This window comes from Homo sapiens, chromosome 1 (genome assembly GCF_000001405.40).
Source record: "Homo sapiens chromosome 1, GRCh38.p14 Primary Assembly".
NCBI classification, from domain to species: Eukaryota; Metazoa; Chordata; class Mammalia; order Primates; family Hominidae; genus Homo; species Homo sapiens.
In genome coordinates, this window is record NC_000001.11 from 164,880,408 (window position 1) to 164,896,913 (window position 16,506).

Sequence of the window (16,506 nt, forward strand, 5' to 3'; positions counted from 1 at the left end):
TATTTCTTCACAGTGATTATTATGATGCATCTGGTAGCTGAGACACCAAGGTGTGGGGACTTGGGAAGGTCAGTCAATGGCTGAGATCCAGATCTTTTGGCCAAGCGTTCTTTCTGCTAAGGGGAATGCTTTTTCCCAGCACTCCCATCCTGGGCACCTTGCCTTTGCAATTTCTTGGTTGTATATTTTATCTCTTTCAGTTGACAAAGTTGACAGGCCCTTGGGAAATACTGACTCAAGACTACTTGCCTTTGGTCAAGTGCTAAATCCCACAGGTGTAGGATTGACTTTGGAAGAGCCACTGTCACTCTTGCTGCCCCCTCCCAAGCCCTCTAGTGTGTCTAGAGGGAAGTAGGATTATCAGTTCTGTACATACCAGAGAGCACTAGCAAAACCAAATTAGCTCAAGCTGGCTGCCATTCAGGTCAGCTAATTAAATTAGCTATTGTTGCATTACTGATAAGGACAGTTTGGAAAAGGAAAAAAGCCACTCATTCCAGCAGCCATAAGGCGAAGGCCAAGAAAATGTGTTAATGGGAACACTCTGAAAGAAAACCCCTCTGACTAGGAGCGGGACCTAGTGGTCCTTGGTGGTCTGATCTCCTAGCCATCTGCTCCAAGCTCATGCTCCCAGTGCTCTCTGGCTCTGGTCTTTATGAACATTGCTACACTCTGGCTTTCTGGTACCCAACTGCAGCCAAGACAGCCCTCCCCTTTTTCTCCCACCATGAGCCTAATCCTCCCGGGAGTCTGGAGAGAAGTGGGGATTTTTCTGGGGGAGAACAGCTCACCCTTGAGTGCTAAAATGTAAACCCCCCATAGTATAAAAGCCAGTTGATACTTGGAAGAGTCTTGAAGAAGAACTGCAGAGACACAGAGAGAAAGGAAGGAAAGAGGGAAGGAAGGAAGGAAGGAAGGAGGAAAAGAAGGAAGGAAGGAAGGAAGGAAGGAAGGAGGAAAAGAAGGAAGGAAGGAAGGAAGGAAGGAAGGAGGAAAAGAAGGTAGGAAGGAAGGGAGGGAGGAAGGAAGGGAGGAAGGAAAGGAAAAATAGAAAAGAGGAGAGAACACCTTGCCCTTGTGTACTCTCCCCATCGTATAAATGCCAGTTGATATTTGTAAGAGTACTAAAGAAGAACCAGAGAGAGTAGCGGTGGTGAGAGAGAGAGAGAGAGGAAGGAAGGGAGGAAGGAAAGGAAAGGAAAGGAAAGGAAAGGAAGAAGAAAAAAGGGGAGGAAAAGTGGGGAAAAAGAGGAAGGAAGGAGAGAGCTAGGAAGTTCCAAAGACACTACATTTTCTGGCTGTCCAGCATCTGCTCATTGGCTACTGTGTGCTGTCTTGGTGAGGCTGTAAGTTACATTGGCTGCTATCTTCTAGTTGAGATTTGGTCACATGGACTTACCCTAGGCCAACTAGCCAAAGTCCTAAGATCTGGAACTTGAGATGCAAGGACAAAGAATCTTAGAAGCTCATTCACTTTAGCAGCAGCTCACTCCAATGAGACTTGCACCTACACTACCTTTCTACCATCAGGTCCCACCCGCTATGCCCCTCACCAAGCTGTCCTGGTTTCATCTTTTTCCCAAAACTAATTATCCAGGTAAAATTCTCTGTGCTCCCTGATATCCTTCTGATTTACTCTTTTTCTGCCTAAAATAACCTGAGTCAGTTTCATGCAATCCAAATGATTTAAACAATCTTTAGTCCAACCCTTTTTTTTTTTTGGTAGTTGAGGTAGGAGACCCAGAGATATTAAGTGATTTTCTCAAAATCACACAGATGATCATTGGCAGCTCCAGGGCTGGAGCCTAGGCCTCTAACTCTATGCTGCCTAAATATGGTGCTCACTAAATATGCATCTTCTGAGAAAGTGAAGGCAACTCAGGGAAATGTGCCTGAGAGTCCATGGGAGAGCCTGGGAAATTCTCATCTGTGCTCCTCATTTTCATGGCTTCATTTTTTCTTGATTTCTTAGATTCTGTTTAAGATTCTTAAGCCATGGGATAATATTCTCCTGTGAGAAAACAAGTGAAATTAAAATTGTCCATACGTAAGTTCATACATATACAGTGTGTGTCCCTCTTTCACTATCAAATGTGAAAAGTCTATAGTCCAAATTTATTCTTAGGCCCTCAGTACCAAGGGCTAGAGTACTTTCTACTGAACTAACGCATATTTTTTTACTTTAATATTCTATATTCTTTTTAAAAAATAAAATAGAGATGGAGTCTCACTATGTTGATTAGGCTGGCCTCCAACTCCTGGCCTCAAGTGATCCTCTCATTTTGACCTCTCAAAATACTGGGATTACAGGCATGAGCTACCATGCCCAGCCTCTGATGTAATTATAATCAAGGACATCAGTAACATCAAGGAGAGGAACAGGTGTACTTATTTTATAGGGGTATCTGTAATTATAATTGGGAAAATATGATACATGCTATGCTATGCTATGCTATGCTATATACTTAGTTTAAATTTGGAACTATATTTTCTCAGCCTCAGTTTCTTCATCTGCAGACAAGAACGTTAACTGTTTTCTCTTCCTCAAGCTCTAGCATTCTAAACTAAATGAGGAATTATAAAAGCTACCGAACTAAAGGAGAAATTACAAAGGTTAGTGAATTAGGCATATTACTGAAATAATTGGTTTAAAAATCTTTCAAGCTCTTTAGGTGAAAATAAAAGGGAAAATCTTGCTAGAGAATCTATTCTAAAAGACTTTAGTTAAAAACATCAAGCCCCACTTCAATGTTCATTCTGAGGAGGACTAGAGAAAGTTGAGGCCATCAGTGTTCAGGTACAGAGTACTAATTCCACAAGACCCAATTCTATGTACCAACATGAGACGATGTTATTAGCGCCTCTCACCCATAAAAAAAATCTGTCTTCAGCTATTGTCAACTCAATCAATTGTCATTTTGGGAATTTGGTGGAAAGGGATTGCCTAGCCCTGGGCAAATGGATATTTTCAAAGCATCCACTAAAATAATTATAATTATTGCTTTATATCTTCCTTACACAAAATAATATAAAGTCATTGCAAAATATGTGAAAACAGAAAAAATATCTTTATAATTCTATCACCCTAACACAATAGTCCTCATTTTCCATAATTTCCTTCTAATATTTGCTCACATATATGTATACAATTACTATTTTGGAAATTTATTGATAGATTTTTTTTAAGTTTGTCAAGCTGAATTTTGCCAAATTTGAGTTCAGAAATTAGAAGCACTAGCTGTTTTTTCAACTTTGTTATACATTCTCTTTCTCTCTTCTTTATCCCTGGCCATAAAATGGGAGCACCGGCACCTTCCCCTTCTGTAATGAATAGGAGTAATGCTTCATGTCTTTGAGCTCTTCTCAGCTACTCAGAAACAAGTACAAATTAATCTTAGATGCACTATTAACTTTTGAAAAACATTTTTCTCTGACAATGTTTTTATATTAAGGCTGGGTTCTATGTACAATTTGCTACAAAAAAGAGGACAGGTGTCTAACACTCCCTCTGAACTGTCATTGACCTATGATAGGGCCAGTACAGAATGTTCTTCATTAGCTTCTTTTTAGGTGGAGGTAGATAAACAAGGGGAAGGGGAAAACCATTGGTCAAATTACGAGCATGCAGATTTAAGTCCTGGGTTTGCAACTAACCAGCTGTGTAACCTTGAGCAAGTCATTTAATATTACTAGGATCAGTTGCTTCATCTGTAAAACACGGGTAATAATAACTATTTCGTAGAGTTGCTATGAAGATTAAACAAGCTAATGTAGGAGAAAGTACTGCAAAAATGAATCACATTTTTTTCTTAAAAAGAAATTATAAACAGGTGACTCCATTGAACTATTCCTAATATTTATCATGGAGATTTTTTTCCATATTATATGAATGAAAAGTGGCTTCAATTTTTGGTGGCTGATGAGCCATTTCCTGAATCATCTAGGTCCAGGCCTTTTTCTTCTTCTCCTATTTTCAGCTGGTTAGCTGCTCATTGAGATCTTGCCAGAGGGTGGGCGAAAGAAATAAAAACTGAAATCGGTCAATTTGACTCTTTGATAGCAGTCATGATGAAAGATCTGTGGATAGGGGGTGTTAAAGTTGTGAGTTAAACTGGAATTTTTCCTTCTTACCAGGAAATTGCAAGAACCTATTGATGGCTTGGATGCTCTGGTGGTGACAGCAAGTCCTCTTCTCTTGACTGAAGAAATGTCTTCCCCTATCTGAAAAGTGGCCTCTCTTCCGGAATGACACATACTGACTTTTGAAGAAGCAAAAGGATACCTGCTGGCCAGTCATATCAGCCAAAAAACTCTGGTGAGCAGTGAGTTGGCAGATGTTGCAACTGGAAGACTGTGGCATCAACAGAGCCCCAAAGCAATAATCTCTCTTTCTCTTCGCCCCCACTAATCCAGCAATCAAATAATCACTTTTAAGCATTTACTGTGCACCACCATATAACATAAAATGTGATGAATAGCTAGGTATATATATGACAACCTCTAAATTCTCAAAATATTATAATAAATTAAGAAAGCAAGAGTTGTGCATGTAAAAAGACAATTAACTACATAGGGAGAAGGCAGTGAACACATTTAGTGCATCTCCCCTGTACCGGTCACTGTGTGAGGTGCTGTACAAGTACTAATTTATCTAATCCCCACCAAATCCCTGGCAGGCATTTCTATCCTTGTTCTGTGGATGATGTGGGAGTTAGAGATATTTAATAACTTGCCCAAGATCACATAGCTACAAAAGTGTGGGGCCTGTTTTCAGGTTTAGATGTATCTAACTCTGTAATCTGTGCTCCATAACTATCCCACACCTACCAACGAGAGAAATCAGAGCTCAAAGACATCATTTAGTATGGCTGGGGAATGACAAGACTTTAAAATGCCTATTGGCAAAACACATTGATAAAGTTATACCAAGTCCATTAACTTCTCTGGGAAATATTTCTAGCTAGAGGAAAAATGCCTGGATTCTGGAAGCAGGGATGGTGGAGTGGAAATGACAGCACACCAGTCTCAGCTCAGCCATTATCCACACGTGTTCATCCCAGCAAGTTGCTTCATGCTTCTAGGCTTTGTGTCATCATCCATAGTATAGAGTGTTTCTAGATTGCCTAATGTCACTCACACTACGTCGCTGGGCAGGTGTGTGGTACACTAGCTCTAACATCAAGCAGACCTGAGTTTGAATCCTGGCTCCGTCTTCAAGCAATGGGCTCTTGGGCAAGTAATTTTCCCATCTGTAAAAATGGAGATGATAATACCTACCTCAGGGTCTTTGCCCTTATTGTTCATTCTCCTGGGGACAGTCTTTCCCAGATATCCGCAAAGGTCACTCTTTTACCTCCTTCAGGTCTTCACTCAACTTACCTTTTTGTGAGAACTTTCTTGAACACAATAGCTAAACTTGTAAACCATCTGGCATTTCCTATCCTCTTTCCTCATTTTATTATTTTCCTTAGCACTCAATACCTAACATACTATATAGCACTCAATTATCTTATTTATTGCCTCTTTCCCACCTCTAGAATGTATGCTCTATAAGGGCAGGATTTTTTGTATTCTTTACTGCTGTATCCCCAGTTTCTAGAATGATTTAGGTGATTAATAAATATTTCTTGCATAAATGAATTTTTTGTGAGTGTAGTGTGAGTAATGTCCTTTGCACAAGACCCGGTACACAGTAAACACTCCAGACATGTTCTCTCTTTATGTTACCATTTTATCGCAACTTTCCCTCATCTCAGTGGGGCACATGTGTTCTCTTTCTTCTCCAGATAACCCAAGATTAACCCAGGATTAGTACTTTAACCCAGCTAATGAATGTGAAGGCTTGATTCTGTGAAGATTAGTCTAGAAGCAAGTGGAGTTAATCATTGTGAGGGAAGTAAGAGGGGATTTGTGTGGTTGCTACCTTCAAATACCTAAAGGTGTGTCACATAGATAGCAATTCCAGGAAGAATACTTCTGCTGCACAAGAAAGGATTTCAACATAATTGGATGTGTAATGATAGAATAATCTGTCTCAGGAGATATCAGGTTGCTCATTTCTAGAGGTCTCCCAGAAGCTAGGTAACTAAATCTCGTTGACTCTGAGGATAATTATTGTAATGAGTGACAAGGTTGGAGTGCAACTAAGGAGATCACGCACTTATGGAGACGGTAAGCAAAATATGGCATTTCTAGGGACAAGATAAATGGACAGCAAATAAGAGTATTGTTCAACCTATAAACTCGAAGAAATCAAGGATAGATGATTATGAGGCTGAGGACAGTCATCTCAATAAAAGTCAAGACATGATACCCAGACTCAAGTCAGTTTTCAGATTCAGAACCCACTGACAGAAACAAACAAACAAAAAACTGGGTCCCTAGGTGATGAGACCATTTAAATTTTATAGAAAATATATATGGTAATGATTTTCTCATTATTTTCCCAAAAGGCCCTTGGCCATTTTCTCAAGTGATCATATACTAGGGGAAGAGGATGACCCAAACAGTTTGAGCCATGAGACATAGGTCCCAAGTTGACATTGATATCTGAGACCCAGATAGTCATCACAGTCTTGTTGTCAAAATATGGGGTCTTAGTGTATCCACAATTGTGATTGCCCACAGTGCATCCACTGAGTCCGTGGACCCACACTTGGGAATTTCCTCAGTAACTGAAAGAATAATTGAAATGCATATACTTGGTAGTTGATAGAAAGCTCACAGCGTTCCTTGGACTGTGGGGTAAGAGCTACTGTAATGAGGAAGACCAAGTGTAATCTTCTGAACTTCTCTTCCTCCAACCCCACTTCCCTACGAAAATAGTAAACCAAAAGCAATATTGCATGCTAGAGTGAACGGAAGAGATTAATGGAATGCTTAAATACCTAAAGGATGTAGGGATGGTGGTCCTCATCATATCCCCATTAATTTACTGGTTTAGTCCCTACTAAAACTAGAAGGATACTAGAACATGACAGTTGCATTACTGTAAACTCATACAAGTGTTAGCCCCAATTGCAACTGCTGTGCCAGGTGTGATATCTTTGCTAGAGAAGATTAACACAGCATCAAGTATATGGTATGCAGCCTTTGATATGGCAAATAAGTTGTTTTCCATCCCTGTCAAGAAAGATGACAAGAAGCAGTCCATATTCACATAGGGTGGACAACAAAGTGTATTTGTGATCTTGTACCAGGGCTATGTTAATTCTTCTACCCTCTATCATCATAGAGTCTGAAAGGACTTAGACTATCTGGTTATTCCAACGAATGTCACATTTATTTACTGTATGGATGAGGTCATGATAAGAAGTATCGAAAACTAGTAACTATTCTGAAAGCCTTGAGTAAGATGCATGTGGTTCACAGGATAAAAGGTAAAACCGTATGCAGTGGTTCATGCCTGTAATCCCAGCACTTTGGGAGGCCAAGGTGGGAGGATTACTTGCATCCAGGAATTTGAGATCAGCCTGGGCAACATAGTGAAACCTCATCTCTACAAAAAATAAAAAATTATCTGGGCATGATGGCACATGCCTATAGTTCCAGCTAACTGGGAGGCTGAGGTGTGGGGTTTGTTTCAGCCCGAGAGGTCGAGGCTGCGGTGAGCCATGACCATGCCACTGCACTCAGCCTGGGTGATAGGGACTCATCTCAAAAACATAAAAATAAATAAATAAAATAAAACCTATGCATATTCAGAGACCTGCCATATTAGTGAACTTTTTAGAAGTTCAGTGCTATGAGGCATCTTGAGATTGCCCTTCCAAAAATAAGGGCAGAGTATTTCAATTTATATCTTCTGAGAAAGAATCACAATACCTGATAGTTCTCTTTGGGTTCTGGAAGAAGCAGAACTTCCACATTTGGACATACTGCTCTGACCATTTATCAGGTAACATGGAAAATTTCTAACTTTGGGTGAAGCCTAGAGTAGGAAAGGGCTCTGTAGAAGTTTCAGTTGCAGTATAAGCAGCCCTGCAACTGGGACCATATGACCCAGTAGTCCCCGTGATATTATAGGTATCTATGCTGGGAAAAGACATGCTGTGCAGCTATGTCAAGCCACAGTGAGAGTACCACAATATGAACCCATAAAATTTTGGAGCAAGGTCATGCCTTTTGCATCAGAAAATTAGACTCCAGTTGAAAAAAGAGCTCCAGTGTACAACTGGGACCTAGGAGAGATGAGTACCTGATCTGGAATATCAACTGACTGTGTAGCCAGACATCCTCTCATAAATTGGGTTAAATCAGACCCAGCAAATTTTAAAACACAGTGGACCTATCAACTACCCATTATAAGATGGAAGTGTTTTATACGGGCTCAGATACAAATAGACCCAGAGGGCATAGTGAGCTACAAGAGCCAAAGGACCAGACTTCCATGTTATTCCCACTGTTACACTGGTGCATCTCCCTCAGCTCACACATTTGGCAACTTGAAGAGTCCTTTATGATGCGGTGGCTGAGGAGGAAAAGTCTGAGCTTAGTATGTGGGGCAAGCCCCAAATGGATGGCAGCAGGAGCACACCCACTCTTGGGTAATGAATGCTGTGAAGTACAGTGGGAAACAGAAATTATTAGAATCAGCAGAGCTTTGAGTGATTCACCGGCCATATATTTTGTGTGGGGAAAAAAAGTGGACTGAGATAAAAACATAAAAGACTCATGGCAATGGCAAATGGCTTGGCTAGTGATTAGGAACCTAGAAGAAGAGATATTTAGGAGTTAGAGACAAGGAGATCTAGGAAGGACATATGTGGATGGACTTATGAAAGTGGGCAAAAAGAATGAGAATTTTTGCATCACTTAATTAACATTCACCCAAGAGTATCCACTGAAGAAGAGGCACTAAACAATCACATAGATAGAATGAGTCAGAAAGTGCCTGCTTTTCTCATTGGCCAGCCCAGTGCTGGCTCAATGGGCACATAAACAAAATGGCTATGGTGGCAGAGAGCAGGTCCAATAGCAAGGACTCCTGCTTACCAAAGCTAATCTAGTTATTGCCATTAAAAAATGTCTATGCTAGCAACATGGACCAGAGTAAGCCCCTTTACAAATATGGCACCCCATTCCTCAAGGAGACTAACCATTTGATAGTAACTTGAGAACACAGGATCTCTCCTACCCTGTAAAGGGCAAAAATTCATCTTGACGGAAATAAACAGGTATATGACATTTGGCTTTGCCTTTCCTACCTCAAGGCCTTGTCTGGTACCAATTTTTGAGGGTTTCTAAAGCATATGATCCACTGACACAGGATTCTACATCATATCACATTGGACCAAGGAACCCACTTTATAGCAAAGGAAGGATAGCAGTGAGCAAATGACCATGGGGTTCACTTTCCTGTCATATGCAACACCATCGAGATACTACTATCTTGACAGAATTATAGAATGAATTTTTTTAAGACAGCACAAGCTTAGAAATCATAGCTTGCAATGATAGGGCACCATCTTCCAGAACATACATCTAGATCAATGACCATTTTATGGTGCTATGTCCCTGATATATAGAGTACACGAATCTGAAGCCAAGGGCTAGAAGTCATAGTGACCCACTTCCATCACTCCCAGTGACCTACTTACGGGATTTGTGCATCCTGTTCCCATAACTCTAGTCTTTGTGGGTCTAGGAGTCTACTTCACAAAGAAGAAATCCTTCCTCCAGGACACATAGCAAGCCACATTGGACTATCATCTATGGCTGCTGTCTTAGCACTGTGAGCTCTATCTGGTAGAGACCACCAAGCAAGGTAAGGGAAGAAGGCCAACTGACCCACCTTAGGAGGTGATGCTGCTGTTACCAAATGGGGCAGGACCGAACACATTTGGCAGCCAGATGATTATGGTCACCATGTCCTTCTCAAATACAGTTGCTGCACTTGTCCATTTACTCCCAGAAGTCAGCAGGAGGTTACCAAGTAATGCTCCAGTGAGTTACATTTATTTTGTAGTGAGGAGGAATGGCAATAACCACTGCATATTGGGAAGCAGTCCCAGAGCACACTTTTCAGTATGTGGGACTTTACACATACACTGTATGTTAACTGATACCATTTTCCAGGGTCCGTTTGGACCCGCTCACAGAACAGTGCTTGTAACGATCAATTTAATGTGTCAACTTGACCGAGTCGCAGAGTGTCCAAATATTTGGTTAAACATTATTTCTGGGTGTGTCGGTGAGGGTGTTTCTGGAAGAGATTAGCATGCCCAAGGTAAGCGGCTTTAGAAGTTCTTACTAAGAAAGGGTGGCTCACGCCTGTAATCCCAGCACTTTGGGAGGACGAGGAGGGTGGATCATGAGGTCAGGAGTTCAAGACCAGCCTGGCTAACATGGTGGAACCCCATCTCTACTAAAAATACAAAAAATTAGCCGGGCGTGGTGGCAGGTGTCTGTAGTCCCAGCTACTCAGGAGGCTGAGGCAGGAGAATGGCATGAACCCGGGAGGTAGAGCTTGCAGTGAGCGGAGACCGCACCACTGCACTCCAGCCTGGGCGACCGAGCGAGACTCCGTCTCAAAAAAAAAAAAAAAAAAAAAGTCCTTACTAGGAAAGGAAGATTGAGCTGAACCAATCTTTTGATTGAATTGGTGGGCCGAGTAGAGTAGATGGCCTTCCCCGGTGTGGGTAAGCCTCATCCAAACCACTGGAGGTCTAAACAGAAAAAAAGGCTGAATAAAAGAGAATTTGCTCTCCATGTCTTACTGCTTAAGCTGAAGCATTGGTCTTCCCCTGCCCCTAAACTGGGACTTACACCATTACCATGCCTGCATCTTAGGGTTCAGATATGAATTAGAACTTACATCTTCAGTGCACTGGTTCTTGGATCAGAACTGAAACCTGGTTCTGGTTTTGGCCTTTGTTCTTGGATCAGAACCGAAGCCATTGGTTCTCCTGGTTCTCAGGTGGTCGGAAATAGGCTGGAAACTACACCTTGACTTTTCTAGGTCTCTAGCTTGCAGATGCAGATTGTGGGACTACTCAGTCTCCATCATTGTGTGAGCCAATTTCTCATAATTAATAAAGTTTATTAAATAAAACTTATATCTTATTGGTTCTGTTTTTCTGGGAAACGCATACTAATACAGTGTCCTAGCCAATTCCTAATAGATCAGCCTAAGTTCAATGTCTGTGTAATATACAGTTTTTCTTTTTTTTTTTTTTTTTTTTTTTGGAGCTTAGGGCTTATGGAAAACCTGCATAAAGCCACTTCCAGGCTTGTCCTCTACATCCATCCCAGACCAGGTAAAGTTCTTTGCTGCAGTCCTGCTCTGGCAAGTTCTGGCATCTCTCTCCCTGCTCTGGCAGAAGATTACTTGCTGAAGTGCTGCCTGTCCCAGGATGCTCACCCTGTTGGCTGTTCCTTTCTCTTTTTAAATGACCTGTCATTTTTCCCAACAGTAGGTGTCCCCACTGGCAGCAAGGTGATCAAGCACAGAACAGACCCTATTAAACTTCACTCTTGCATCTTCAGCAGATTTCCTGTTGATACCTGCAATATTTTAAAAGTCAGCTCCTCCTGGGGGAAAAAGGTAGGAGCATGAGGTGAGGGAGGGGATGAATGGTTTGTGCACCCCTTGAACTATTTCATCTTTTTAATTATTTTATTCTATTTCCATACAGATGCCTCTTTTGATGCTGTTTTAATTGTGATGGCTCTTACAGAAACTCTCTCTCCTGTTCAGAAAAAGGCAATAAAGTTTTCAGGGTTTTGTTTGAAAGCTTCTGGTTCACATGTGCAAATAATTTTAAAAAAGAGACCCTTTGTAAGGCAAGAGCTCAGAAACCTGCCTCCTATCTACCATGGATGTACCACAAGATTTACCTTAAAAGAGCAGATGGAAAACCTAGCATTGGCAGCTATGAAACATTCTCTAGGTCTGTTACCTGTTTCAAACCTCCACCACTGCCCGCTGTCAGCTCCCATTGACTCATGCATCTCTGAGCTTCTTAATACATATTTCCAAGTACTGGAATCTGTAGGGCTGGATGCAACTCACTCAGACTGGTTAATGGGCTTTGGGTAAGTTGGAGAGGCTATAAGGTGTGTTCAGCTCAATCTTCCTTTCCTAGTAAGAACTTCTAAAGCCACTTACCTTGGGCATACTGACCTTCAGCTGCACTTTGACATTGGAAGTATGATCTTCACAGCTTAATCTGATAACATGCCAATACTTAGCAAACTGCATCTGGATTGCTCTCATCTTTCCTGATAGGTAATATGAATACACACACACATACAGACACAGACAAAGGAACACACACACATACACGCATGCACGCACATACAAATACACACTCATAGCCTTCTTCACATGGTTGTCAGTTTTCCAGAACATCTTGGCACTGGCAGGACTGTCTATGCACTTCATGGAGGGGGCTGGGCTTAGTCCAGGTTTTGTGACAATGGAGTCTACAGAAGGGATGAAATCCAACATTTAGGCAAAGACAGGTGCCACCAATGCACCTGCATCCAGCCCAGTGCTCCACGCATTAAGCCTGTAGTGCTTTTAAATCATTCTTGGAGCTTTGCAAAATGTTTCTCCTGCCTAAGCTGTCTCTGGCCTCATACACCTAAGATGTAAATCTTTGCATGTAAGGCAGAGCAAGCGAGCATAAGTCAATGATTCCTGCCCCACTGGCAAACTAAAGCAGTGTGGGACCTTTCATTCCTTGTGCATCCCAGGTGGATGAGGACCTGGGAGGCAGAAATGGAAGAACAATGGAGGGAGAAACGAAGACATCCCACTGCCTCATCCTTCACATGCGTGCATGAGCACTGCATATACCACATGCCCTGTGCCCACTTTCTTTCCCTGCCTTTCCTGAGATTTGATTCTATTGAGAGTGTTGCACTCTAGAACACAGAGTGGCAGAGATGGAATGGGATTCAGGGGCTCAGTGAACTCAAAGCCAGTTACGTGATCAGGATTGACACTTTGTGTTATTTAACTCTTCATGTCTTTGTGTTTTACTTCTGATCTCAGCTTCTTAAAGTGGGCCACCAACTGTGGCTATCTCTGGAATCCCAACTTTGCCAAAACACAGCACAAAAGCATTTGCTGCTTTTATTTATGTATGAAGATGACCAGGAAAAGGATCTAGGCATAGGTGAAAGAGGGGTTGAGAATTTGCTAGGGTTGACCCAAAACCTGATCTGTCCCAGGTTATATGGGACACTTTCTCTTTGAGAGTGAATCTCTCTCTCTAAGAAAGTATTTCCTCTCTGAGGCCTATGCTGTATGGCCAGGAAACTTAAGCTGCTTTCCTGTAATCATAGAGAGTTGAGAGGGATCTCAACACTCATTTCATCTAATTCCCTTATTTAACAGATGAGGAAATTGATATGTTTCCTCATCTGCATTTTTCACTCATTATTTCATTTAGTCCTCACCATGCCCCGCTAAGGTGGGTGTTATTACTCCATCCTATGAGGGAGGAAACTAAGCATCACAGAGATGATGCGACTTGCCCAAGGCCACACAGATGGTTAGCAGTGGGGTCTGAGATTGACCCCAGGTAGCCTGACTCTCAGTCTAAGACCTTTCCATCTTAATCAAGGATCCCTTAATGTTAGTCTAAAGACTTACACAGGTTATTGATGATATTTTCATACAACTATGACAAATATGAAATATGTGCATATCAACATAACCTTGCAAACTTTCTTTCTCGAGAAAGCCTGTCTTTAATGAGACAATGCCCTTCCTACACTTTTGGTATTTAAAGATCTCTTCTTTATGAACTTATAATGATAATAAATAGTGGAGGTTTATATATTTGCTTGGCAAAACGGAACATTGTGAACTACATGACAGTCCTTAATGCTTTTAAAAATTAGGAATCCTGAAGTCTGGGAACACAGTACTCTGTGGCCATCTAGGTTGTTGCCTGCAGCATCCACCAATGTGAGCTGGAGATTACTACAAGCATTTGACTCGTCATCGTGTCAAGAAGTCATCACCAACGGCTCAGCAACATGGGGCCAAGACTCTGCCCTCATAGGGCTCAAAGCTCCTACCTGGTCAATCAGGAACCTGCACAGTCCCAAGAGTACTATAGGATGTATGGGAGGAAAGGGAGCCTTTCAACTGTCATGGGAGCCTGGGGGCTTGGGAATTGATGAGATTCCATATTTGACCATTCCTTCCCATCTCTGTCTGGGGTATCAGACAGGAGGGATAATGCAAAGAACTGAGAACTTAACCTGGTGTGCCCAACACTGCTCTCCTGGCCCCAGGTAAATAAGCTTAATAGGAAGAAGAGATGCTGTGGAGTGTACCAGCCATGATTCCAGGGCCATTACTTAGTAAGCATATGATCTTGAGCAGCTTCTTTTATGAGCTTTGCTGTGTTGCTCCAACAATAAAATATGTTGTATACAAAGCACCTATACAGGGCTGATACTTACTAAATGCTCAGTAAACATTCATTTTTGCCTCCTTTTAGCATATATTCTTTTCCTACTTTACCTCAAGAGTCAGTGCTAGGGAAAATTGTGAGTTATCTTGTCTTTGGTAACTTCATGTCACACTCTTGCACCTCTGGGTTCTTCCAGCCAGGGAAATGTTGTTTAATATCCAAATTCACACCGAATGGCTCAGAGTTTATGAGGAGAGGACAATGCTGGAGCAAAAGAAAAATTCTGGCAGTTCTGGCAGTGGTATTCCAGACCCCATGGCACCCAGCTGAAGGGGCTTTGCAGTCCCAGCCTCCCTGACACACAGCTGTGGGCCCGCTCTTTCCTCCCAGGCAGGAGGCCAGTCCTGGTGCCAGGCTTGGGCTGGGCACTGGAGCCTCTGCTGTCATTGCCCATCTTTCTCTTGTTCTGTGCACTTGGTACTACAGCTGACACCTGGGATGTCACATTCTGACATATGAGGCTATGGGGGTCAAGTGGGCAAGGGTGGGGGCGAGAACATGGCTTTCACAGCCAGGTATGTGTCAAACCAAATTCCACTCATGATTGGGTGTCTAGCTTGGAACTGATCTGGATCAGAGTGATGTGCTGAAGTCAAATGACAACGTCTGTCTGGCTGGGGCTTATCTGACAGGACGTGCTCCCTGGTGGGTCCCAGGGTCCAGGACAGAGGCTGCAGGGACAAGGGAGGGTGTGAGGCAAGTGGTGGTCCTTCCTCCTCTTTGCCTTGTCTTCACATTTGTTGCCAGCTCGTGCCTGCTGACATTTGAGCAGATTCTATTTATGCAAATAGGCTATTTTGCTTTATTTTGAGTCTCCTACATGCATGTAGACCATTAACTGTCACAAAGGTTTCTTTCCACGGTGGTGACTAACAGCACGGTCACTCACCCAGCAACAAGGAAGAGGCCTGACTGGGGAGGAAGAGTGTTTAATATTGATGTAAGTCCTGAATAAATGAGGATTTGTGAGGCAGCGTTAGAAGGCATTCAACAGCACAGGCTTTGAATTCAGACAGCCCTGAGTCTGAGTCTCTGCATTGACACTTATTAGCTTGATGGGCCTGGGCAACTTTATTTAATATCACTGATCCTCGGTTTCTACATCTGTAAAATGGTGACGTAATAATATACATTATATGGGAGTATTTTGAAGGATTAAGTGAAAATGCATGCAAAGCAGCTCTCTTTAGAAAGCTTGGACAATTTCTCAATATTATTATAGGAGGATTCTGATCTTCTGCCACTTGAGTTTTACCACTTTATGAACATTCTTTGTTTTGCTCTCTGTAATTAGGATAACAAGAGGGTACCAAAAAGAAGAAAGGAAAAGGAGACCCCGTGGTTGGTAGGCTGGAAGAAATACTAAGGAGAAGCAATTTGTTCTCTTGGGGACATTTCCACTGGAATGTTGTATCCTAGAAACTTCTTTAGAAAATTATACAAGGCTTGGCTGGGCGCAGTGGCTCACGCCTGTAATCCCAGCACTTTGGGAGGCCGAGGCAGGCGGATCACGAGGTCAGGAGATCGAGACCATCCTGGTTAACACGGTGAAACGCTGTCTCTACTAAAAATATAAAAAATTAGCCAGGCGTGGTGGCGGGTGCCTGTAGTGTCAGCTACTAGGGAGGCTGAGGCAGGAGAATGTCGTGGACCTGGAGGCGGAGCTTGCAGTGAGGCAAGATTGCGTCACTGCCCTCCAGCCTGGGCGACAGAGCGAGACTCCATCTCAAAAAAAAAAAAAAGAAAAAAAAAAGAAAATTATACAAGGCTTGTAGAGGTATAATTTTGTTTTTTAGAAACTTGAAAGACAGGGCAGGAGGATAACTACATATATTAATACTAGGGTATATAATTATTATTAATAGAAAATCAGGCCAGGTGTGGTTGTTCATGCCTGTACACTTTGGGAACCAGAGGCGAGAAGGTCACTTAAGGCCAAGATTCTGGGACCAGTCTAGGCAACATAAATACAAAAATTAGTCGGGTGTGGTGGTGCATGCCTGTAGTCCCAGCTACTCGGGAGGCTGAGGTAGAATTGCCTGGGAGGTTGAGGCTTCAGTGAGCTGTGATG

The 16,506-nt window shown here is 42.3% G+C and overlaps 1 protein-coding gene across 5 annotated transcripts in view; it reads left to right on the forward strand.

The window, feature by feature from the left end:
* The window catches only part of PBX1 (PBX homeobox 1), a 326,864-nt gene extending 321,224 nt beyond the window's left edge, over positions 1–5,640 (forward strand). For all 5 annotated transcript variants that reach the window (XM_011509590.3, XM_011509592.3, XM_017001395.3 and 2 more), the window contains one exon: positions 4,135–5,640. In XM_011509590.3, the coding sequence (XP_011507892.1) occupies positions 4,135–4,155 (21 nt within the window). In that variant the 3' untranslated portion in view covers positions 4,156–5,640. The remainder of the gene's footprint in view (positions 1–4,134) is intronic.